This window comes from Homo sapiens, chromosome 13 (assembly GCF_000001405.40).
Source record: "Homo sapiens chromosome 13, GRCh38.p14 Primary Assembly".
Classification (NCBI taxonomy): Eukaryota; Metazoa; Chordata; class Mammalia; order Primates; family Hominidae; genus Homo; species Homo sapiens.
Window position 1 is genome coordinate 111,410,219 of NC_000013.11, and position 25,167 is coordinate 111,435,385.

Sequence of the window (25,167 nt, forward strand, 5' to 3'; positions counted from 1 at the left end):
AGCACTCCAGTCCTCGCAAACTTCTCACTTCTTTGGGGAATGAGAACAAACAGGCGGAGGGGCACAAGCCCACCAGGGCCCTCCGCCGCACCGCGCAGGTGCGGGGCAGGCACATCCGCCTCCGGGCCCCTGGGCTATTGTTTGCTGGTACAGACTTTTTTTCCACTTTAAAATTGTGAAGATGAAAACCTATTCTGGCGTGGGGTAAAGATTCTCCACAGAGCCCGAGTCAAGTCCAACGACGACCACCCTGACAGCTCTTGGCGCGCAGCGTGGGGTGTGCAGCGGCGGCTCCTGGGTGAACTTTGTCCCTGGGCGTGTGGTTTTGGAGCGTGCCGGGGTGACATTCAGCCTCTACATTCATTTTTATGATAATTCCGAGTAAATTGTGGTGCAATAAACTCTTCAAGCCTGTCTTTCTTGTGAAAGCCATGAATCAATCAGCTGTGGGCTTTTTTGGGGGCCTTTCAATGTATAGTGATCATTTAGATTTGACGTGCATTGTGAGACCTTAGCGTGCCTCCTCTCCCTGGTCTGTCATTAATTCCAGCCTCCGCTATTCTGGAGTACAGTGAAGGATGACTGAGAAATCATTGCCCCTCTTCAGCTCTGTTATTGCACAAAATAGCAGCGCAATAATTTTTTGTCAATGTTTTACTCTAAAAGCTTTCTACGTCAGTTTTGAAAAGGAAGCAATAAAGCCCATTCAATGGTATGAATAAAAATCCTTTGAGGGTTAGGAGCAGAGCTTCTTTTCTTCAGCTGGTAATCAAATTGGAGCTAAAATGAAATTGAGTTTTCTTATGAAAATAGCCTTTGTTGCTGGGAAGGCTGGTAATTCATAAACAATAACCTGCTCTTTTGTGTGGATAATAATATATTCATGTTCTTTCAATAGGGTAAAAGCCAGACCTAGTGCATTATGGTACAGTAAAAATAGCAGAAGGAGCTGGCTGGAATGATCTTGAAGAAGAAATGAAGCACTCGGTGGCTCTGCCCTTCTGCGTCCCTCGGAAACGGCAGCCGGCTTTATTTGCGCGCCGGTTTCGTTGTTGATTTGTTGCCGCTATACAATATTCGGTTAATTGTGGACGGGCTCAAGCTGTGCTCATCCCTGCGAAGGCTGCCGCGGCTGCACGGTGCTCACAGGAGCAGGCTCGTTTCTCCGGGACCCGCCAGCTCCACAGCCTGGCACCAGCAGGCGACGGGACGCGGCGCTCGGGAGGTGAGCAGGCGGCGTCGCGGGCTCAGCTGGGACCAGGTAAAGTGTTGGGGGGACAACTTGCTGTGGATTTTCTGCTAAGTCTGTGGGGGTGGGGGGCAGGGTGGAGAGGGAGAGAGCAGGACACGGTGCGTGGGTGCGTGGAGGGAAGCGGCGTCTGGACTGCGGCGGCTTCCACCTGGCTCCCAGGTGGATCTGACGGCCGCTGTGCCTCTCGGCCGCGCGGGACCTTTCGAGGGAGCCTTGTGGTCATGTCTGCTGGTCACAGGAGCTGTCCTGGCCCTCATGGCCATGTCTGGGGTCCTTGGAGACCCAGTGGTACCTGCCGGCGCCGGGCATAGTGTGGCCTGGAGGCGGAACGATGGCTTCTTCTGGTGAAATCTGTGTTTGCTGAACTTAGCTTGGAAGTTGGCTGTGCAGTTGCAGGAGGCTGCTGGCATCCGGGGGGGGGGGGCTGGAACTGCTGCCTGCAGACAGCTCACTGGACGCTGCTCCTTGGGCAACAGAGACTTTTGTTCTCTATCTCAAGTTGGTGAAAAGTTGTGTTCTGGTGATTGCAAAAACGTGTGCCATCCCCATCTTTATGTCGGCATGTGGAAATAGCCTCCGTCTTCCCAGATCCACAGCCCTGGGCCGGGGTCCGGGCCAGTCAGATAAAAGGGGACTTTTCCATGAGGTCATTTGTTGTTACCATGCAACACAGTGCTGTAGGAATGATTCAGCTTAGCATGTCTACTGAGATTGTAAACATGAGATGAGGCTCCTCATGGAATACTCTACTTGCTCTTTTGGGAATGATTTTTGGTTGCTGTTTTAAGTTCCATTTGCTTGGCTCTAGACACAGTTCAGTGGACAAAAATAGAAAGAAAGAAAAGAAAACACACCTTTGAAAGCAGAGAAGTGTCCAGAATGAGGTGGGCAATGACAGCAGCAGGAAGGGAAGCGTCAGTCTGGCTGGACTGCGATTGTCAGGGGGGACAGCGGTGCTTTCCGTGTCCCTGGTGGCTTCTCTCCGGGTTACCTTTCCTGTGAGGCTCCTAACGGATAGTGGGTATCTTCCTGGCTTAGCCTAAGGGCTCTACAAACTCTGCACTTGGTCCAGAACTCAAGAATGGAGAAATTGAAATGAGTACCACGATGTGCAATTTTAAACGACTAAACTTTGACAGTGTCCGGAGAAGCTGAATCAGTGCATGGTGAGCCTGCCCTCATGGAAATGAGAGCAAAATGGAAACGGACAGAAGCGCAGGAGTGCTTGCGTGCACACAGCTATGTCAGGGATGTGTGCCAGGGTTAATGCCGGCTATCAGGTATTTGTGTGTTGTTTTGGTGTTTTAAGAATGAAATTACATGCTTAACAAAAGGAACTTTTTAAAGGCGCAGTAGAAGTTGACAGTTGTGGTAACATATGTCATTATCCAATTAGTTGATGCAAGTGCATGTTTTTATGCCTTCCTGAAATGCCTCCATGCGTTTCAGCTCTAGCAAATATTACTTCATTGAAGTCTTTCAAAATGAGGATTCTAATTGTATATATTTTACTCTGCCTCAGTAAGTGTTCTGTGCTTTTCAATATCATGAGCACCTTAATACATTCTGATTTTTAAATCTATTTCATATTTATTTGGGGGGAAAAAACCCAGGATTCTTTTGGCTCCCATTGTACACTTTGTCAAAAACCCCCTGCAAGTGACAGGTTCCTTCTGACTTTCTCCTGCTGACAGAGCTGCAGCTCATGGGGGCTTTATTCTTATGCTGAAGTTGAATCGCTGAATCAATGTGAAAGAAAAGATTGCTAATTGTCAAAGAATTACCCTTCAACTCAAGGTAAAGGAAACTGTGGAGGAACGCTCCTGGAGCATTTTTACTGTGGAAGAAATGATAAATAGATTTCGTCTGGATGCAAATCGTGGATCATATGTCACAGCACAGTTCAGCCTGAAAATGATAATTTCCTTCATTTTAACTCTTTGGTAGTGTTGATGCAAAGTTCTTCCCTTAACAGTACATGTTTTAACGGGTGATAACTTGGCTTTTTTTTGCCTGAGGGTGTGCAGGCTGCTGATTCTGAGCTGTGCAAACCTTGCTGCAGAAGTGTGCAGAGAGGAGAGGGGAGGGAAGGAGGGGTTCTGTCGGGTGGGTCTGGGCATCTGGCCCCGAAAGGGGAAGCCCACTCAGTGGGCAGGTGTCGGAAAGGACGGCTTTGGCCTGTTGGACTCTGGTCTTGAGTCTGATGTTCTCTCCGGTTATTTGAAGAGATAAAAGCCACTTATGCTGACTGTCCCCTGTTTTCCACGGCCAAGCACATGTTTTCCCTGCACTGCTCGGGGTAGCCCTACTCTCGGCAGAGGAACAGTTCCATGGGGAGGGCTGGTTACAGACGGTGGCTCACACACACCACTGGGCACTGCACAGCCCCAGAGCTGAGCCAGGTGGCATCTGGGTGTGTGGTGGGCATATGGCCAGAGCAGGCCTTCAGAGGGGAGCCAGGACTGAGTGCCGACACATCGGGGACAGGGGACCTCAGCAGACAGAGGGCCGGGACGTCGTTGTGCGTGCAGCTCTTCACCCAGGCCCTCTTCCCAGCTCCACTGGATGCCAAGGTCCCCTCCTATCCCCTGCTCGTGCCCCGAGCCCACTCTGCCCTTACTCCGGCTAAAGCCTAGGGCTGACCCTGAGGAAAGACTTCTTCCTCCTGACTCAGGGCCCCAGCAGCCCATGTGCCAGCCACAAGTCCCTCTTGTTGGGGAAAGAGCTGCTCCTTTCTTTTTGAAAGGCTTGATCTCCCCGGGGACCAATGTGGGGCATATGTGTGGGAACAAGGGGGCCCAGGGACAGGATAGGGGTAGATGAGGCAGGGACTTGGGGGTGGGGGGGATCACTGGTGATCTGGAACTTTTCCAGGTGAGTGCCCCCCAGCCCACTCATCTGCCCTTGCCTGGTGTCTGGCCGAGGCTTGCTGTACCCGGACGGCAGGTTGTCCGCATCCAGTCTGAAGACCCACAAGGGTCAAACATCTACCACCCACCTCCAGGCTCCCATCTTGTGCCCTGGGGCCACCTGCTGTCATGACCATGGTGGGTGGTGGCAGTTTCTTTGGTTCTGTAAGGAGACCCCATGAGGAGGTGACCCATGGGAGTGTGACCACCTGCCCCCTCTGACCGTGGCTGGCTGCTCACGTCTCCTCGGACACACTGGGACAGCGCCAGTGCTGTTCTGGTCTGGAAAAAGACTCAGCTAGGTCAGTGGGTGTTCCTGATGGGTATGAGGGCCACGGACTCACCTGGCTCTGATGATTTCTTTCTTAAACTGTAGGACTAGCTATCAAGGTGGAGGAGGGAGACAGAGAAATGGGGAATAAGATCCACAGTGCAGCACCGATTTGTTCCCTGTGACTTTTCTCCTCCGGCTAACATTTCCTAATATGGGGAAGCTGATCTTTTAAATTAGAGGCAAATACAATGAACTTACGTTAAGGTGAATGTAAATAAAGTCAAAGTCTTTTCATTATTGTTACTGATCCTCTATTTTCCCATTAACTTCATTTAAGCCTTTTAATCCTTAATCATCAAATAATTTGTATTTATCTTGGCTGGACTAGATTATCTACAAGATAAGAAAGTCTACACATATGGAATAGAGGTGTTTGAATACATATATTTTATTTGTAAGGGAATAAGAATGTAGATTAAAAGTGACGAGTTTTGGTCATTAGAAAAATATTAGGGAAATCTGGGACCAAATCAGCAGGTGCATTTTCATGTTGCAGCTAATGTCAACAATTTCAAAGGACATTATGGCGATAATTATCTGTCAAAAATTGCACCACAGCACGTCCATTTCTTTTTTCTCTTTTAATCCTGCTCTACTCGACCTTCTCCTTTCTGAAACTTTGGGGGCGTGGGTTAAGTGCTTTTTTACTGCTCTATGCAAATTGCACCTCCAAAGTTCAAAGATCTGGTACAAAGCCTGTCACTACTTGGAAGATTTCCTTTTTTTCCTTGTGCTATTGAGAATTAGGAGCTTATTTACAGATGAGTGCTTCTTGTATACTGCCGACACAGAAGGTTTGCCAATCTCATTCTCCCTGTGCTCTCCTGAGCACATGATTCAGAAACCTACGGCTGAAGCTTCCTCCGGCGATTTCTGAAAAATACACGTTGCTGACAGAAAAACCTGAAAATATCTAATTATATATTTTACATCAGTTTTAGTTTTGCCTTATGTATATTATTAAGGATGCCATATACCAAGGATGTGTTATCTCAAAAACGAAAAAAAAAAAAAAAAAAAGGCTCCAGTCCTTTCTGCAAAGTATTAAATACATTCTTAAAATATCATTTCTTTTCTTTTTGAAAAGTTAAAGTGTTTTAGGAAACAATTGTTATATCAAAGTTCCTGGCCCTTTGGAGAAAGTGTTCAGTAGAGAATTTGTTAATCATTCTAGAAATATCTGGTATGTATTTTCAACATGAAGAACACATTTATTTCCTATACCATGACTGTGCAGAATTGATGTTTAAGGACTTACAATTGTACTTATTTCTGGAGACAATGGTTAATTAATGAGAGTTAATTTTTATTGTATCAATATCACCTTATACTGCAGCTATCTTTAATTTTAAAGAAAGTATATAATAGCGATACATTTTATAACACAAATCACCTATCTAACTGGTTTTACTGAAATGGCTGTAATTGAGTTCTGCTATAGACATTTTTGCCATCATTTTTAGGTTTGCAGCAAAGATTGTGAAATCATACACTTAAAGGGAAAGGAATTAACCAAGAAAATCCACACAGCGCCACACTCAGCAACACCGAGCATTCAGCAAAAGTCTAGTGCAGTGTGCGGTGTCTGGCAGGGTGACTGTGTCTTACCCTGGTCATTTTAATTCTTTAGAAGTGGCTTCTTACCTTTGCATATAAACATAGGCGTTTCCCTTCTTTTGGATTTTGTTAATTATATGAAACCACCCGTCATTTCCAATCCTGACTCTAGGCCTTATTTCCTTCAGCCAAAATCAAAGTGCTGACCCCCGGGCCTATCTAAATCCTCACATTCTGTCTTTTGTGGTACCGTCATCCATGAAAGCAGGCTTCCAGCCAGCAAGCCACTGAACTCCATAAAAGCAGGCTTCCAGCAAGCAAACCACCAAACTCCAAAACAGGAAGAGTTGGCTTCTCCTCCCTGATGTTTGTGTCGTCCAGAGCACGAGTGCAAGAGTAGCTCTTATGTTTCATGTCTAAGCATTTCAGTTATAAATCAGGTTGCACAAGCAGGGTCTGTCTCCTACCTGCATGAATGTGCCTTCACGTTCGTGAACCTAAAAGTCTAATTTAAACGCAGAATCCTCACCTTCTAGGGCATCTGCACAGGAGCTGGGTGGATTCAGGCCAACCAGCTTCAGTGCCATGGTGAGCTGCCCCCTTCCTGCCCTGTGCATCTCAGCTCCATCCACACGCCCCACAGAGAGCCTCTTACATCTTCTTTGGGAAGACATGTCTGGGAGAAGTTCCCTGCAGGCTCAGGAAGGGGCCTTGTGGGTGTCTGGGGAATTCCGAGGTCCTGGCACCCATGGTATGTCATGGGGGGGCCCAATCTGAGTGGGTGTTTCTCCTGGGTCAGGATCCCTGAGGGATGCCGTGTCCCGGGGAGGGTGAGAGAGGGAAGCTCTGAGGTGTGGCATTCAGTACAGGTGTCTCTTTGCCCTGGTCTAAGGTCAGAGTCATCTGGCTTCCCGGATTGGGCACTTCTCCAGAAAATGGCTGAGGTTATAGAATGTGTGGACTGCATCTCTGTTGGGCAATGTGGTCTTAATATGATGGTTTATTTTCTCATCTCACGGCAAGGACTTCTCTTATGAAAGGTTATTAGTATTATAAATGGCATGTGTTTAAGTTCACAAATAATTGGACATTGTGGAGCCTGAACTGGATGCTGAAATGTAAGCATAATGCTGCCCAGAAAGAGCGGACACCTGGTCAGTTGGTGGTGGGAGAAAATGATTGGAGAAAAATGGGGAGCGTGAGACTCCGGAGTCCAGCTGTCTGGACAGGCACCTGGCTAGACCACCTTGAGCAAGTTCCCACATCTCTCCAAGCCTTCACCTTCTCAGGTGAAGCTGGGGAGATGGTCAGGTCTAGCTCATGGGGCTGGTACAGCTCAGGCTTGGAATGACAGCTCGGGATAAGCTCTCAGTAAGTGTTAGCTCTTGTCACACTGTATCTCATGAATTCTAGCATGTGCTTTTCTCCATGTCAATATCTTTAAATCAGGATGTTTCTTTCCATTTTCATAGCTTGGATTTGGTGGAAGATGGTAATCAATCTGCGTGACTCTTCAACAATAAAAGGATTCTTTAATTTGAGAATTTCTGAGAGGGAAAGAATATCTGAATTGATTATTGTGGGAAAATCTATCCCCCAGGATCCATTTCCCTGAGATATGTAGGTAGAAGGGAACCGTGGAGGTAACATTTAGATTTATAATGGTCAACGCTTTAAAACAGGTGTGAAACAAACAGAATCTCGAGGCGATCAGCCGCACAATCATTGCACTGAACACCTGATGCTCAGAAAGACACAAAGTGCTCGATTTTGAAAGGGATAAAATATTCTCTTTTATCCTGGGCACAAACAGACTTTACAAAAAGAAGGCAATTTAGTTGAGATCTTCATTTTCCCCTTGAAAAGAGATCAACTATATTCAGGCTCTAGCAATAAATGCAAAACCAAAAGTTTTCTCAGAATCACTATGCTTCCCATTGGTTTGTGAAAGCCCTCTCATCTCAGCTTCCACACACGCTCCAGGGTTCCGGGGAAGCCCGTGCCTGGGCCTCGTCTTGTTTTCAGGTGAGTGCCCTTCAGTGCTGCTGACTTCATTCACCCCAGTACCAAACCCTCCCAGGATGGGGGTCCCGGGATCTGTGTTCTTTCCATCTCCCACCAGAAATGCAGCACTCAAGCTTCACCAAGCTTGTCTGGTCTGGGCAGATGCCGCTGCCTACTCATGAGCCTGGGAACTTCCCTCAAAGGAGCTCTGGGGCTCTGTTCCTGAGGAGCCCCGAAGATGCTCTAAACAACGGCTTCTGCAGAATAAAGCAAATGAGTGCTTTATGACCAGTACCCAAGACAAGAACATGGTGTCCTTTGTTGATTCGGGGCAAGACTGTACGTGGTGGCTCCGGGAGCTGGCCGGATCCTGGGGGCTCATCTTCACGGGGGAGACTCAGGCATCTTGAATGCTGAAGAGGGCAATGGGAGGGGATGGAGAAGGCTGAGTCTCCTGTTTGAACATGTCCTGCCATCCAGATTGTCTATGTGGACTCTTCTGTAAATTTTTATAATTAAATATTTAAAAAACTTTAAAAGTTCCCCGAACAGGAAGGAACCCATTCAGAAGAGTCCTTACATTGACCCCGAGCTGTGGAGAAGACATGCTCCTGGGTGGCGGTCTTGAAACCTTGTTAAGCCCCTGCATGCAGGAGAATTTGCAGACACTCCCAATCCATGCATGTTCATTCTTTTACACAGTTTGGGAATCACTGTTCTAGACTCTATGTGCATTTATTAGACCGGGTCCCGACAGGAAAACCATGGCATATTCAGAAGGGAGGAGTGAGAGGCTAAGGGAACAGAAGCATCTGTAGAGAGGTGGGCAGGGCAGGAGAGCCAACCACGATGGGGAGGCCTGGGTGTCCGAGGTGGCCCTCCTGAAACCGTGGGCTTAGTAGGGCATGTAGACACTGCTAGCCCACAGCCTGGCTTGATGAACATGTGACCGAGCTCTCTTTTCTGAAATACTCTAATTTTGTACAAGCTTCTGCCATTGGCCCAAATCAACCTGGGGTGGGGCTGGTGACAGATGACAGCATCCCAGCCTGGGGAAGGACAAGCCCAGACGGCCCAGCAGGGGTTTAGTAACAGCCATCCCTTCAAAACAGGTGATTGCAAAGACGAATTCCAACAGAACAGACTTCGGGCGTCCTAGAACTTGTCTCTAATGTCAGTCCAACAAGAGAGAGAAGGGCCCCGCTCACTCGTTTCTGCTGCTGTGGTGGGAGCAGAAGAGATGCCAAGAGAGGCCCAGGGAAGGTGTCTGCAAACTTGAATTGGGCCACAGAGATCCTGCAGCCTGAGGACCGGGCCCTGGTCACCGGCAGCCCCTGGAGCTGCGGTGGTCCTAAAAGACCCCTAGGATCTTCTCAAACACAACGTTGACGGTCTTCTCTCTGTGTAGGGTATTCGCTGATGTGGCCAAATGTGTTCAAATAGAATTAGCCATGTGGTATGAAAAAATGATAGAATTACCACCTGAGGGACAAGAGGAAGGGCAGTGCAGTCTCACTGAGGTAGGCTTTTTATTTTTTTAAAGTGAGATGGGACCTTATGGTTTTTACATGTTTTGAAATTACCGTTAAAACTTGCTACCCATATAAAATTCACCGGGTCATCACTTAATTTCCGAACTTTATTTTTCTTTATAAAAGTAATAAAAGTTCATTCTAGTCAATTTAAGACTAGACAAGCAGAAAAATAATACACACCACCCAGACAACTGTTGGTGATCTCTGGAATGATTTGGAGCTTTACCTGTATGAGCAGGATGCCTCCTGAGCCAGAGGAAAAGTGTCCCTGAACCTTTGTGCTAAGAGGGGCAGCCCCACCCTGAGCACCTCATTCCTCCAGAGCAGCACACAGGTGCCAGCGTCCGCAGCCTTTAGGGCTCTGAAGGAGCGAGCACGTCGCTGGGTCTTTGTAGGAAGAACCACCTTTGTGTATGGGGAAGTTGTGGACATAAAAGTAGGGGAGGGGCACAGGAAAGGAGCTGGAGCAGGACCAGCCTGGCTGTGTCTGGAACCTCCCTGTGCCTCTGGGCAACCTCCGCCATGGGATCCTGTACTGCGGGACCCTGTGCCGCCCTGAGTCGAGAGGCTGGACACAGGCTTTGCCTACTCACAGTCAGCTCCATTTAAATTTCTAGTCCTCAGGAGAATGTGAGCAGAGGTGCTCGCCCCTCTGTCCTCCGTGTACTGTGCATTCGTGTATTCGTGTCACAGAGCATGGAGCCAGCATGGCTGGGGTGAGTGAGCGATGCCACGTCCCATGCTTTACTTGTACTGTGGTCAAAGGGGCTGTGAACTTCTCAGGTGCTCAGTCCCCATGCCCTGAAGTCCCCTAGAAAGAAGGCAGGCTGCCTTCTTCCCGGGCCTGGGCCTCCCTCCCCTGAGCATGGCTGCTCCCCTTGTGTGGCCACTGCGCTGAAGGCTAGAGAACACCACCGCCACCACCAACTGTGGCCCGAATGCTTCCTTGAACCCACGGTCCACTCATGAGATTTGCTGGGATGTGTATAAAATGTCCAATTTATAGTCACAACTCAGCTTTGGAAGCTGGAACTCTGCAATGTCTGAAGGGACTGAGGGAGCCCTGCCTAGCTCTCTCTTCTCAGGAGATCAGCTGTGTAGGGAGGGCTCAGGCCGAGAGGGGCGCTGGGTGGGGGGCAGCAGTGGCCACATGGGGTGCTGGGGTGGCTGGTGGCTCCCTCCCCTGGGAGTGCTGATGAAAACACCCCCTCGATTCTCTGCACTTGTACTGGGTGTTCCCTTGGCCCTGGTGTGTGCCTTTTTTTTTTTTTTTTGATAGTGGGAACTTTCCATTAAAGACTTTGAAAGGACAGCTGGCCCCTGGCCTGGGGGCTGAAGCTACATCGGTAGAAGGAAGGGAAGAATCCGATCGGGTGGTGGGGACCCAGTTCTGGCCATTTCCTCTTTTATTTTGGGACATTCTGCTTGGCCTTGGCCTTCTTTAATGGGTATGCAGTTCAGGGATGAACTACGACGGGAACCTGTCAGGGAAAGGGCTGTGAGAAGCTGGGGCGAAGGGTGCAGGGGATGTGACGGGGGACCGGGGACCTGTCGTCCTCGTGCTCAGGCCAGGGCTGCTCCAGCAGGAAGGGGGTTGAGGTGCAGTCTTGGGAAAGCGGTGCGTGGCTTCTCAGGCCCTTCCAGGGTGCCATGCGTGGGAGGGGCTTACCCTGGAGTAAGTGCATGGAGGGGTCAGGGCTGCCTGGCAGGAGCAGGGGTGAGGTGGGTGTGGTTCCACGGGTGGGACCTGCCTTGGAGGGCTGTGCATTTGGGTTCCTCTCTCTTGTATGCATCAAAGGCCTGTTTTCAAGAGATGGATTAAGTTTTGTCATATATCTTCTAGGCAAACATACTTTCCTGATATTTCAAATATCGGTAGCTTCCAGGACTGGGGGCGTAGGAGTGAGCTGGTGATAGAGCCAGCTATGTGGGAATCAGCACAGAGCACAGGCCGGGTGTGATGTGTGCCCTGCAGGCAGTGAAGGTCTTCCAAGAGCTTGCTTTAGCTAAGCCAACCCAATTAAGATACGCTGCATCTCTCCCGTGCACCAGGAACGTGCCCTGCATGATGGCCTGGCACTTGGGGCCAGCATGGGCCTCTGCTCCTCAGACCTAGATTCAGTGTCCTGGCCCATCCCCCCTTGAGACTCTGCTCGTGGGCTCTTGGCCGTGTGAATGTCTGTCCTGTGACCCTGGGGGTCTCTCTTGCTTTGTCCCAGACCTGGAGCACATGGACCCGGCAGGAGAACCCTCCAATGCTCAGTAGCACCAAAGTGCCTTGTATCCACAGGCCCCACTCTCCCGAACAGCCTCAGATAGCAGCTGGTGTCCTCTGTTGTACATTCCTACTTCGTGTAACCTTCACGCAGGCCCTAGGAAGCCAACTTGATTTCTTTATCATACAGACAAAGAAACCAAGGCCGGGAGGTGTGCGTTCACTCACCCAGAGTGACATCCCTGCAAAAGGGAAAGGGCAGGATGAAGTCATCATGGACCCTCTGAGCCTGACTCGGTGGTTGCGTGAATCTTTGCAACTCACCAGGTTTGCAACAATGACCCTTCATTGAATGAAATGATCAGAAGTTGCCACTAGTGACAAGTTCTGAAAATGCCACCGTGAGCAACAGGCTTGAGAGGGTGGCAGGAATTCCCTTCAAATGCAGAAGCTGGCACTCGGGCAGCAGTGAGGCGTTTGGGAGGGACGACGTTGCCATCTGCCCGTGTTAGGTTGGCACAGTGCCCGCCTCAGGAGGCGCTTGATAAATGCTTCCCTGTTTGCATTCTTGCTTGGGGCTGTCTAAGGGGAAACGCGGTAAAGATTCGGGACACACGAGACCAGAGATTTCCAATAGAGGAGGTGGATGTCAGAGAGAGAGAGAGGGGCTATAGCCATAACTGGGTGTTCACTCTAGAAATAACCATTTCGTACCATGGCTGAGCCGCCAGACCTTTGAGCCTGATGTACCCAAGGCTCTGTCATCACGAGGCTTTTCGAGGGATGCATATCCCTCTTCAGTAATGTGATGCATACTTTTTTGGGTTCATGTCAGCAAGAGAAATGTAAAATTGAGGCATTGAGAAGAAATGTACAATTGAGGCATTGAGGAAAATTCTGGATTTTCCATGGATGGAGTGACCATGAAATTCTTGAGCGACAGAAACAAAGTAATCTGAGCAAAATGTCCCCAAACAGAATTTTTTCCTACAACATTAAAATGTGGTTAAATAAATGCAGTATTAAAAATCATGTTGCAGACTGGCCACAGGGATGGAAACGACCCAAAGGCCTCCAGGCTGGCTGTGAAGAGAGCCAATGTCCCTGTCGCCAGGCTCCGGAGGGCAGGGGGGAGGGCAGGTGTCTTTGCCTCACTTTTCACTTTTCATCTTACTCCTTTCACAAGGAATGCATACATACACCAGGACCTTGTGGTTGTGAGAATGAAGGGATCCTAAAACCTGGTAGAGATTTTAGCTTCTGCACTGTCTCAGGGTGAGCAGGGCTCCGCGTCTCATCCCATTGCTGCGATGACCACAGGATCACACCACCACAGGGCTTCCCCTCCCACGCCTGTCCCTCCCAATGGCTGACGGGTGTCAGGCATTTCCAGACATTCCGTACAACATGGTTGAGTTCAGGAGAGCCCTCCCGCTCTGTCTGATGTTTTCCAATGATGATTTTGGCAGTCAGATCTGAGGTCCCTGTGTCCTCCTAGCGCCTTTTCATGCAGAACTCTTCACCGTGAATTGTAATTTCCTGCTCACTCGCTGATTTCCCCATGACTCAGAGAGTTATGACATGGAGCGAGGGGAGGGACAAGGTCTGTCTCAGGTGAGACTCTCGCTGCTGGGCACAGGGGCTCGGAAGTCTTGTTGAATGCACGGATGAATCATCGTGGCCCTGGCGTATTTTGAAAGGAAGAATCTGGGTAGAGTGAAGATAACATCTGAGTTATTTCCTCAGCTCTGCCACTCTGTATCTGGGGAAAGATATGGATTTTGGTTTTTTCATTTAAAAAATTTGAATAACAACATCTGCTTTGCATATTTCATAGTTTGCTTGGAGGATCCAAGAAAAGTGCTTTGAAACGCAAGAGCCCTCTCTGGAGCAGGTGTGGTTGGTGGAAATAGCATGAGTGTGGATTCCAGGAGCCCAGGGCTTAGAGTTGGCTCCTTCCAGGCACTGCGTTTTAGGAGGGGTGGATAGTAAATGGTCGATCCTTACCGCTGGTGGAATCTGCACTTGCAAATTTGCCTGCTCACTAAAATTTATTTATAATTCCAAAGTCAGTACTTGCAGAGCTTTTGAGGACGTGCACAGAGGGGAGAAAAGAATTGAGTCGCCAGACGTGTGTGTGTTTTTCCTACACATGTTCCCAGCTGAGATTGAACAAGGCCACACGGCCTTCTTGCTTCAGGGCTCAGGCTGTGAAGAAGTATCCTTTTCATGGTCGCGCGTCTTGTGTTTAAAACAGGCCACGCACAGTGCTGACACGCTATCTGATGTCCTAAGCGCAAGGGGAGGGGAGGCCCTCTCGCGAGAACACACGCGTGAGCTGAGCTTCACTCAGGTGTGAGTGACGATGCTGCCGGCCCAGAGTCAGTGCCTCTTAAATCAGGTGCCTTTCAACAGGACCACGCACAAAACGAGGCTATGCCTTGGTCCATTGACAAAAATGTGACTGGAGGCTCGCGGGAACCTAGCCCCGTGTCTCCTGAGTAGCGGTGGTTCAGGATTCACTAATTCATCATTTGTGTTAACTTCCTCAAATATACCTGCTGTGAGTAATGAGAAGCCACTGTATGTGGGAATGTCTGGCCAAAGACAGCCCCTCAAAAGATTCCCGTATGCCCTATTATTTTTCTGACCCTCCAGAAAAAAACGTACACATAAAAATCTAATTAAGGCCAGGCGCGGTGGCTCACGCCTGTAATCCCAGCACTTTGGGAGATCGAGGCAGGCGGATCACAAGGTCATGAGATTGAGCTCATCCTGGCTAACACAGTGAAACCCCATCTCTACTAAAAATACAAAAATTAGCAGGGCCTCGTGGTGGGTGCCTGTAGTCCCAGCTACTCGGGAGGCTGAGGCAGGAGAATGGCGTGAACCCGGGAGGCGGAGCTTGCAGTGAGCCGAGATCGCGCCACTGCACTCCAGCCTGGGCGACAGAGCGAGACCATGTCTCAAAAAAACAAACAAAAGTAATTAAATCCTGAGGGGAGAAGAGTTGGAAGACGAAGAAGCATTTACACAGCTGCTGTCCCTCCTGACACCACGCGAGTCACCTTCTCCTTCCAGCAGTTGCCCTGTCCCTCCAGCTGGGCATCGTGTCACGTCTTGTTTCTGTAATTTTATGGAAGTGCCATCTGACGGAAGTTTCTGTGGTGGTGGAAATGTTCTTCTGTGGGCTGTCCACTACTACAGCCGCTGGCCACGTGTGGCCGCTGAGCACTTACCATGTGGCTTATGTGTCTAATGAACTATATTTTAAATTTTACTTAATTTTGATGTATTTAAATCTAATTTGCCATGGTTGGCTGGTGGCTGCTGTTTTAGACAGTGTGGATTTCTACAACTGGTCCCTGGTGAATGGTCTGTGGTTGGGGTGAGCTGTGGACTCAGCTGGCTTGTCCCAGCTCTCCCAGGAAAGTGTGGCTCATATGAGGAGGTGCGGCGGGCTCAGGCTGGACACGGGAGCTGCCGGTCTGGCGCAGAGGGGAGCGAGGCAGGGCTGTTTGCCGGGGGTGCTTCCCATCCTTTGTGTCCTTGCTTCTCCTGATCCCTGGAGCTCCTTCATCTGATTCCAAGGACCCTGAGGCATGGTGTCCGCAGTGCCCAGGTGGGCAGGCATTTTCTGCCAGGGCCCCTCCTGCAAGTTCTGCAGCCCTGGTTGGGTCCTGCTCTCTGGGAACTGGCCCCTCCCTGGCACTTTCTGCCCCAAGACGAGCACTGACCCACCCAGAAGTGCCTCCTTCTCTAAAGTGACCCTCTCCCGTCTCTCACTCTTGGCCTCTCCTGCAGGGCTTCTGGCCTCCACTTGCTGGTAGAGCATTTGAAAAAGGACTCTTTTATCCCAAATGAAAGCTCGCTTGAGAGGTTTTCAGACTTTTGACCAAGGAAAGTAGAGTGTTGTGGGTGCTCGGGGGTGGACAGGCCTCTGGCGGCTGTGGGATGCTCTGCCCGCGTGGCTGTGGAAGGAGACTGAAGTCAGAGATAGGTGGTCAGGCTTTCCCAGTTAAAAAAAATAGCTGAACTTGATGGCGTGTTTAACATGCACCTGGCATTTTGCCACACACTGTCTCATTTAACCAGCGCCGCTGACTGGGAAGGAACCACTGCGGCCACCTCCACCTTGTGAAAGAGTGGCTGAGGCAGATCCCGCAACCTGCCCACCGTCCCCTCATCAGGAAGTCATGGTGTCAGGTCCAGGTCTTGGGCCCAGAGGGCTTTCTCCCTGAAGGGAGGTGAGCATCCTGAGCAGCCCTCATGCTTCCCCAGGTACAGTAAGACGCTCGGGCTTCTGGCACACACCTCTCCCGTGACGTTCAGTGACACCACGAGAGAATTGTTTGGATCTTCCAGCCGAGGCTCTGTAGCCTCGGATTTCCATCCAGCGTTGATACCAGATTTTGACACGCCACTGTTCCTGCTACCGATCTCCCTCCCTGTTTCCTAAAAGGTCCATCTCAGCCTCCTCACTGCCTCTGTGACTTCAGTAGCAGAGACAAGGTGGTGGAATCCACCACAGGAAATGGGGACCAGGTTGTTTTCCCATATTTAATTAGCAGGATTTCTCCTCATTTATTGCCAACAAAAGAATAGGGCTGGTAATGAATAGAGTTACACAGTTATTTTTTGGAGGGGGATAAAGTGGAAACCTGTGTAGACGAAGAACCTGTTTCTCCAAGTGTCTGCTCCAACTGTGGAAAATGGCCAAGCTGTGTAACCGTGGCCCTCAGGAGGGAGGACAGAGCCCCTCTCGGCCCCTCTCCCTGCCTGGCTCCAGAGTTTCTGGATCAGAAAAGGCAGCTATTGTGATGGGTAATTCTTTAATCATTGTAGAAATGCTGTGTTTTGCAAGCACTTTTATATTGTATTGAGCTGGTATTGAAGGTACTGAGTCCTTCAGACTGGTCTGATGTCCTTCCTTTCCCCAGGTAATTGCAGAACCCAGGTCTGGATGGAAGCAGAGGTGGTAACAGCAGGTTTTATCCTTTCCTGTGTGGTTCAGGAATGGCCTCGCCTCAAAGGGAGGACTTTAGGAATCACTGTCTTTTCTATCCTGGGACCCTACCAGCCTCCATTCAGGTCGAGCTGCCTCACATCTGGTCTGTGTTGTGCACTTGAAGCTAACAAAGTCTTTGCTTAGCTATTTGGACTTCTGTGTATGGAAAAAGGTTCCTTTGTTCTTTTCCTTGGGCATACATTTGGCAGCCTACATACCGGATGATGTTCTAAATATTTAACGACCAGCAGGCTCGGGACCCACCAGCCAGGAAGGGTGACTGCAGTGAGTGCCCAGGGGTATGAAGCTCGCAGCAGCCTTCCTGCCTGGGGCTCCCTGAACCTACTGAAGACGGCAGGGAAAGCTTAAGTTTTGTTCGGAGTTCACAGTATTTTCTGTAGTGCAGTGATGCTTATTTTTTCCCCAGTGGTTCAAAAGTTAAGGACCCATTCCCAGGAGAAAGGTACACACACGCTCCATTTTGCTTGCAAATGAAAGGGCTCATAGATTCACTGAAGCTCTCAGTATCAAAGAGCACTTTCTCTGAAGTGGGAGATCCACAAAACCAAGTCCTAGCACCCCTTTGCAGGCGCTAGCATCCATATGGGTGGAGTCCCAGAGAACAAGGACCTTTCACCATTTGTAAGAACTGCAGGAAAGGGGTCATATTTTATTTCAATATTTTTAGTAACTTTCAATTTTGATAGCGTTTCAATTTTAAGGAAAAGCTAATAAACAGCAAGAACAGCCTAATACATTTCCATATGTCCTTTAGCTAGGTTCAATTATTATTGACCTTTTACACCATTTGCCTATCTATCTGTATACACACACACACACACTTTTCAAGCCATCCGAGATTAAGTCAAGCCCCTTTAAGTGTGCATTTGCTAAGATCAAAATATTCTTATACATTTATGCAACTTAACTATCAAAATTGGGAATGTTAACATTTGGCTCAGTTATGTTTTCTAAGCCAGTGGTTCTCAAAGTGAGGTCCCCAGATCTGTGGCAGCATCTCTTGGGACCTTGTGGGCCATGGAAACCCCTTGTGGATGGAAGCCTTGGTGATGGTGTCCGACAGCCTTCCCTCTACATGCCTCCAGGTGATTCTGACATCAGCTAGGGTTGTGGAATTGCTAATGTAATCAACCGACTCAATAACATCAGCCCTAGGTTTTTTTTTTTTTTTTTCCTGTCCAGAATTAAATCCAGGAATCCACATAGCACTTAGTTGTCATGGCTCTTTAATTATCTTCAATCTGGGACAGTTCTTCAGCTTTTTCTGGGTCTTTCTTAATCTTGAAGTTTTTGAAGAAGACAGGCCCATCCTTCCGCAGACTGCTCCTTAATTTGGATTTGTCTGGTGTTGTGTATGATGGGATTCGAGCCATGCACCTGGGGTGGGCCTGTCACTGAAGCCACACTGCATTCCTTCTGGGCTGCACTTCAGGGGCCACCTGACATTGGTAGCTCCAGCATTGGTGACATCAGCTTTGATCCTGTGATTAGTGTAGTGTCTGTTATGTTTATTTGTTTGAAAATTTTATTCTAATTAGTAATTTATGGGGACATACACTGAGACTATGGAAATATCCTATTCCTCATTTTAGCATCTACTGGTGGTTCCCTAGCTTCATCATTTCTTCTATATTATTAGATATTATAATAAGTATTATTGATATATAAGATATAACAACATAAAATATAACATATAATATAGAGACAGACATAGGCATTCTTTTATAAGGGAGACCTTTCTCTTCTCCCTCATTTATTTATTATTTATTTACATCTATATAGTCTTTTTTTTTTTTTTTTTTTTTGAGCTGGAGTTTCACTCTGTCGCCCAGGCTGGAGTGCAGTGGCATGATCTCAAGTCACTGCAACCCCAGCCGCCTGGGTTCAAGCAATTCTCCTGCCTCAGCCTCCTGAGTACTTGGGGTTACAGGTGCCCACCACCTTGCCCAGCTAATTTTTTTTATTTTTAGTAGAGATGGGGTTTCACCATGTTGGCCAGGATGGTCTTGAACTCCTGACCTCAAGTGGCCTCCCGAAGTGCTAGGATTACAGGTATGAGCCACTGTGCCCGGCCCAGTCTTTTTCATTCTCATTTTATTCAATGGGTTATATGTAATCCAGTAGAATTATCTTTCATTTTGATGCCTACATTGTTCCAGATTTGGCCACTGGGGGAGCTGATGGGACATTGTGGCATAGGACATTATCCGACAAGCTTGTGGCCCCAGGTCATAGGCAGCCAGCAATCGGAGCTAAGAGTGTACAGTTCTGAAAAACCTGGACCTTGACCTTAGAAAAAGACATTCTGGCTAATGAAGCTGGGAGTGCAGCGCGTCTTCAATGCCCTCGAATCTGCTCTCTGACGGTGCCTTCCCAGTTCCCACACCCGTGCTGCTCTCCATTCCCCGACCCCTCGGTGGCTCCGCCCACTCCAGGGCTGCCCCTGCCCTCTGGCTGCTGCCCCTGGCTCTTCCCAGTGGCTCCATCCATAGAGCTGCTCCACTCCAGAGGAGTGCCTTCTCCACTTGAATGTCCACAAGCAGCAACTTGAATTAGGTATTGCTCCCTTCCCAGCCTGATGTTCCTCTTCCATGAACTAGCTCAGCTAATGGTGTACCCAGGTGCCCAAGCTAGGACCCTGGGCTCATTCTAGACTCTTTCCTCGTGTTCAAACTTCATATGTTATGAGGCACGTGATATTCAAAGTCCTGGAAGCGTTAATTCAGCTCTGGCTAGAAATGGTAATTCTGCATGAAGTCTGACGGAGGTCATTGCAACAGTGGAAAGCTGTTGTGCCCCGAGTGCAAATCTTGGGATAGTCCTTGTGTCTTGTTAGATGCTGGTGAGTGTTACGAATGCAAATCTTGGGATAGTCCTTGTGTCTTGTTAGATGCTGGTGAGTGTTACGAGTGCAAATCTTGGGATAGTCCTTGTGTCTTGTTAGATGCTGGTGAGTGTTACGAGTGCAAATCTTGGGATAGTCCTTGTGTCTTGTTAGATGCTGGTGAGTGTTACGAGTGCAAATCTTGGGATAGTCCTTGTGTCTTGTTAGATGCTGGTGAGTGTTACGAGTGCAAATCTTGGGATAGTCCTTGTGTCTTGTTAGATGCTGGTGAGTGCTACGTAGCAGCTGAATTGTTAACTTGAATTGTCTTAACAATTCAGGTTAAAACTCTATGCATTTTGTATCTTATAATCATGAAGTTGAGTGTCTACATCTGTTTATGAAGAGAAGCAAAGCCCTTTTCTGCACTTATTGAAAGTCTTGTTTTACTATTTCCAAGATTTGTTGAAGGGTAACTTTGAGCAGTAAATGTGTGTGTTAGAAATCTATTTTTCATAAAGTGTTTGTTGTAGAAAATAGAGTTAATTTAAATTTAAACTTGTGTTTGTCATCAGAGGCAGGTTTTACTGATCAACTGTGTGATGATTAACTCAGCATCCTTGGCCCCAGGAGGTTTGTTTCTTCCTCCTCTGCTACCTGTTGCCTCCATGGTTAGGCAGCCTCAGGACTCCTTATGGACATGTGTGTAATAAACCTGGTGGCTTTTGCTGATTTGTTTCCTTAAAAAATACGTGTAAATTCAAGATTGGCTTCATCCTATAATCCCTCCATCTTCTTAGTACTTTTCACATCTTTTCTCTTCCCACAGCTGCTGTTTTATTTTTTTTTCTTCTCTAGCTGTGGCCATTCCACTGGTCCCCTAATCAGTCTCTCTGGACCGGGTGTGCTGCACTCATCCCGCCCCCGACAACCTCCCTCTGCCTTGGGTGGCCTCTGTGGAATGCAGGTCTCTGCTTGCTTTGCCCCTCTGTTGAAAGCTCTTCGTGTCTCCCCAGATGGAACAAGGCAGGTTGCTTGGGTTGACAGCGAGGCCTGCGCTGGGCTCCATAGCCTTGTTGTGTGTCTCTTTCCAGCGTACCCACTGTTTTGTCCACCCTGAACTGCTCATAGCTGCCCAGCACAGCGTGCCTCTTCCGCCTCCTTCCTCTCTGGTTCTGTTCAGGTCACCCCTCCCCTCCCCTTTTCAGCCTGGTGAATGCCCGTTGCCCGACACGACCACCTGCAGGCCAAGCCAAGCTCTCAAGCAGCTACTGATGGTGTCCTTCTCTGTCCTCTCTCAAAGCATTTGACTGCTTTTTGACACCCACCTCTGTTACGTCATGCATCCAACCAGACTTTAATTACTTGTTTACATTAACTATTTCCTAGTAGGCTGTTAGCAACTTGAGAGAATGTCTCTGTCTTTTAATTATCTTTTCCCACCTAGATTACTACCTGGCACACAGCAGATGTTCAACAAGGCTCTGCTGGATGAGAACTTAATGACTCCCTAGCATGACGGAAAGAGGTTACATAACAGAATTGAACACAGAAGAGTGTCACCTAATGACAGCTGCTAGGAAATCAGCTACTTTAAATAGACTCTAAAACATCCATTCCCTCCCTTCACGGAGGGCCTCACCTGAATAGACTGCCTCCACTAGAGGAGAAGTTGTTCTGTGATTTGTTTTTATGATTAAGGTATTTTAAATAGTTTATAATTACCACCACCACTAAACTTGAGCCCATTGTTGTCATTTTGTTGGTTTTTCATGGAAAATTTGCTACAGTTTGAATCCGAAATATGTCTGTAAGCCTTTAGGCAATCTCTTTCTGGAGTCATGTTTGGCCCCCCATGATTGGGGATTGGCCATGAGATTGGCCCCCCATGAAAATTCTACTGCAGATGGAAATGATGTTTTCAATGAGTTAGCAATTTTTGGCCCCATTAATGACTAAAATAAACCATTGAAAGTGCTCAATTTGAAGTGGGTCTTGAAGAAAGATGTGAAGTTAGGAATGAAAATAAGGTTTTCCAGACATCACAGTAAAATGCATAAAAAGAAGCAAACAGAACCAGCAGGAAGAATATGAAAAGATCTTAAAAGGAAGGCAAGAAGGAAGACCAAAAGCCTTGGAGGGCATCTTCAGCACAGGGTAGAGGGCCAAGGGTCTTTCTTGGGTGGGTGTAAATAGAGCCAAAGGAAGTTTCAGGAAAGAGATCATTCACACATCAGCAAGCACCACACACTGCACTGCAACAAGGTCGAGTTGTGCACGTGGGCTGTGCTTTGGAAGCGTCCAGACGTCCGTGCAGGTGTTCTCTTTAGAGTGTGCCCTGAATGGCAGTAAGCAGACAAGGACATTTTATGTAGAAGAGCATCTGGTATAGAAGGAACTGCTTTGATCAGTCCCACGCTCTCTTCTCTTTGGATGGTGACTTGCATCACAATCAGAAGCTTCTAAAGTTAGTAAAAAAAAAACAAGTGGAGACACATTTATTAAACTCCCATCATTGCATATGTGGTATGCTCCACAAATGTGTGCCTTAACACCACAGCTGTGTTGTCAAAGGTGTTTTGTGTAGGCATTTACTCTAGAACACTACTGATTCTTAGGAGAAACAGAGTTTAGACGTATAGAATCACAGAAATAAGGTTTAGGTAGTTCACTTAAAAGTGATCCAACTTCCTTAGTTTACATTCAAGGACATCCTCCATCTGACCTTAAATTTTCTTCCTGCTTTTCTTCCTCCCTCCCCCAACCTTTTTTTTTTTTTTTTTTTTTTGGAGATGGCATCTCACTCTGTCACCCAGGCTGGAGTGCAGTGGTGCGATCTCAGCTCACTGCAACCTCCACCTCCCAGGTTCAAGCGATTCTCCTGCCTCAACCTCCTGAGTAGCTGGGACTACAGGCGTGTGCTACCACACTTGGCTAATTTTTTGTATTTTTAGTAGAGACAAGTTTTCACTGTTAGCCAGGATGGTCTTGATCTCCTCACCTCGTGATCTGCTCTCCTCAGCCTCCCAGAGTGTTGGGATTACAGGTGTGAGCCACCGCGCCCAGCCCCTCCCTCCCTCTTTTCTGACCATCTCTTTATGCTGCTTATGTTTCCCACAAAAGCTCCACCTCCCATGTAGCATTTGGATCATGTTCTTTTCTTCTTCCTGCTCTGCAAACTCTTCAAACTTTTCATCCATTTTCCAGGTATTTTCCGCACACTTTTGACCCCCAAGACTGTATGTCAAGCCTAGACATGTTTCCTGAGGGCCAGATCCCTGAAAACCTACTATAAATCTCCAATTAAATGTTTCACTGGCACCTCAAACTCAATATGCTCCAAGATGGACTTGTCATCTCTCTTCCACCTTACCCTGATATTGATGTCTCTGATAAGCTGTTCTGTGTCTTCCCACCTGATGGCATCACCATCCTCCTGGATTCCTTCAACTTCCCCTTCACCCCATGTTCCCAAGTCCTTTGTGTGACTCTAAGTCTGACCTTGCACCAGACTTTCCCTATGCCTTCGCCATGGTAACCCACTCTAGGCCAGGGGTCTCCCCACAACCCTCCTCCCTCCAGTCTACTTTCTTCATGGCCCTACATTTCTCTACTGGCTACTAGTTGTGTATACAATAAATGTCAGAACCCTTTATTCTGCCTTATACTGGTGGACAGTGTCCCTTTCAAGTGGACCCCATCCTACTCCTGGTCTTACCTCCCTCTGCCCCAGCCCATATATCCTTCACCCCAGCCATACAAACTTTTCAAGCCCCCACATCACCTTGTCTTTTCATGGTTCTGAAATTTTCACATATGTTCCTTGGGCCAGTAATACCCCTTTATTATTTCTTATTTTGGCAGACTTTTACCCATAAGATGTACTTCTTTTTGCACTGGAATTTGTCAGTGAGCAAATGTTGTTTAATCACTTACTAAGAAGGTAAGTTAGGATGTGAGTTCCTTAACTTTTCCAAGGTTCATTTTCCTCATCTTTAAGATGGCAATGATAATATGCACATGGATATCCATCACATTCATGAGTGCCTGTGTTCCAGGGAGGAATTGTGCCAGCCTTTGTTCTTGAAGGGCTTAGGTAAGTGGAAAGAAGTGGGGAAGAACACAAATTAAAAACAGCATCTACAGGGAAAACCCATGGCAGGTCAGGTACACAGGCTGTGGATGACCATCTGTAGGGTGGGGAAAGGCTTTGTTAAGGGGGTATTGGTTTCATGGAGGGGACTCAGGATGATCATGAGAGCTGGCAGGTTTTAAACATTTATGTACTCGGTGTTATGCTCCATGTTTTACATGCATAATTTCACTTAGTGCCCACAAAACTCCTCTGAGGTAGATTCTTGTTATCCTCTCAGATTTGGGGTGTGGGGGTGTTTTGGGAATCCTTCTGAAGGAAGTCACAACTAAGCTAAGACCTGAAGGCTGAAAGGGCTTGGTGGTTGACTCTGTTCTATGAGACAGTATCTCATAACAGGTTGTGCTAAGACCTAGATGGAGTGAGGAACTTGAAGCATGACCTGCTCGAGAATGGGATGAGTTCCTTGTGTGGAGATTGGAGGGAAAAGGGTGGAAGGAGAGCAGGACATGAGATAAGGACAGTAAGTAAGCAAGTATCAGACCATGAAGGACCTTGTCTATTGCTTGAAAAGTAAGCCATTGCAGGAAAACCTACATGCCTTCCCACTAGATGGAGCACAATGGCTATGGTGTGGCTACTAGATTGGTGGATGAATGGATGGGTGTGTGAGTGGGCAGAAGGATGAGTGTGTGGATGGATGGATAAATGGTGGATGTGTGGGTGGATGGATGGGCAGATGAATGGGTGGATAGATGGGTGGTATGAGGATGTGTGGATGGATGGATAGGTAGATGGATGGATGAATGGGTGAATGCGTAGATGGACGAATGAGTGGGTAGGTGTATGGATGAATGGATGGATGGGTGGGTGGATATGTGGATGAATGGGTAAGTGGGTGGGTGAAACGGATGGAGATGTGGATAAATGGATGGATGGATAGATGGGTGGATGGATGAGTGGGTAGATGTATGTATGGATGGATGGATGAGTGGTAGGTGGATGTGTGTATAGATGGATGCATTGATGAGTGGATAGATGGATGGGTGGGTGAATGTATATATGGATGGATGGATTGATGAGTGGATAGATGGATGGGTGGATGAATGCATGAGTGAGTGGGTAGGTGGGTGGATGTAGGAATGCATGGGTGGATAAGTGGATGTGTGGGTGGGTGAGTGGGTGGCTGTGTAGATGAATGGATGGGTGGTGGGTGGGTGGGTGAGTGGATGTGTGGATGGATGGGTGAGTGTGTGTGTGGATGGATGGATGAATGGATAGGTGAATAGATGGATGGGTGGGTAGATGTGAGAGGGGAAGTTGGGAACAGAGCCAGGAGGCCGAAGGCAGAAGATAGGTGAAAAGGCTACTGTAAGAACAGGTGGGACAGATCAGCGGTCTTACATGGGGAAAAC

At 48.0% G+C, this 25,167-nt stretch overlaps 1 long non-coding RNA gene across 1 annotated transcript in view; it reads left to right on the forward strand.

Annotated features, from left to right (window-relative positions):
* The window catches only part of LOC107984618 (uncharacterized), a 46,289-nt gene that overhangs the window by 3,780 nt on the left and 17,342 nt on the right, over positions 1–25,167 (forward strand). Inside the window, exon 2 of the long non-coding RNA XR_001750032.2 lies at positions 899–1,261. This is a non-coding gene — a long non-coding RNA (uncharacterized LOC107984618). The remainder of the gene's footprint in view (positions 1–898; positions 1,262–25,167) is intronic.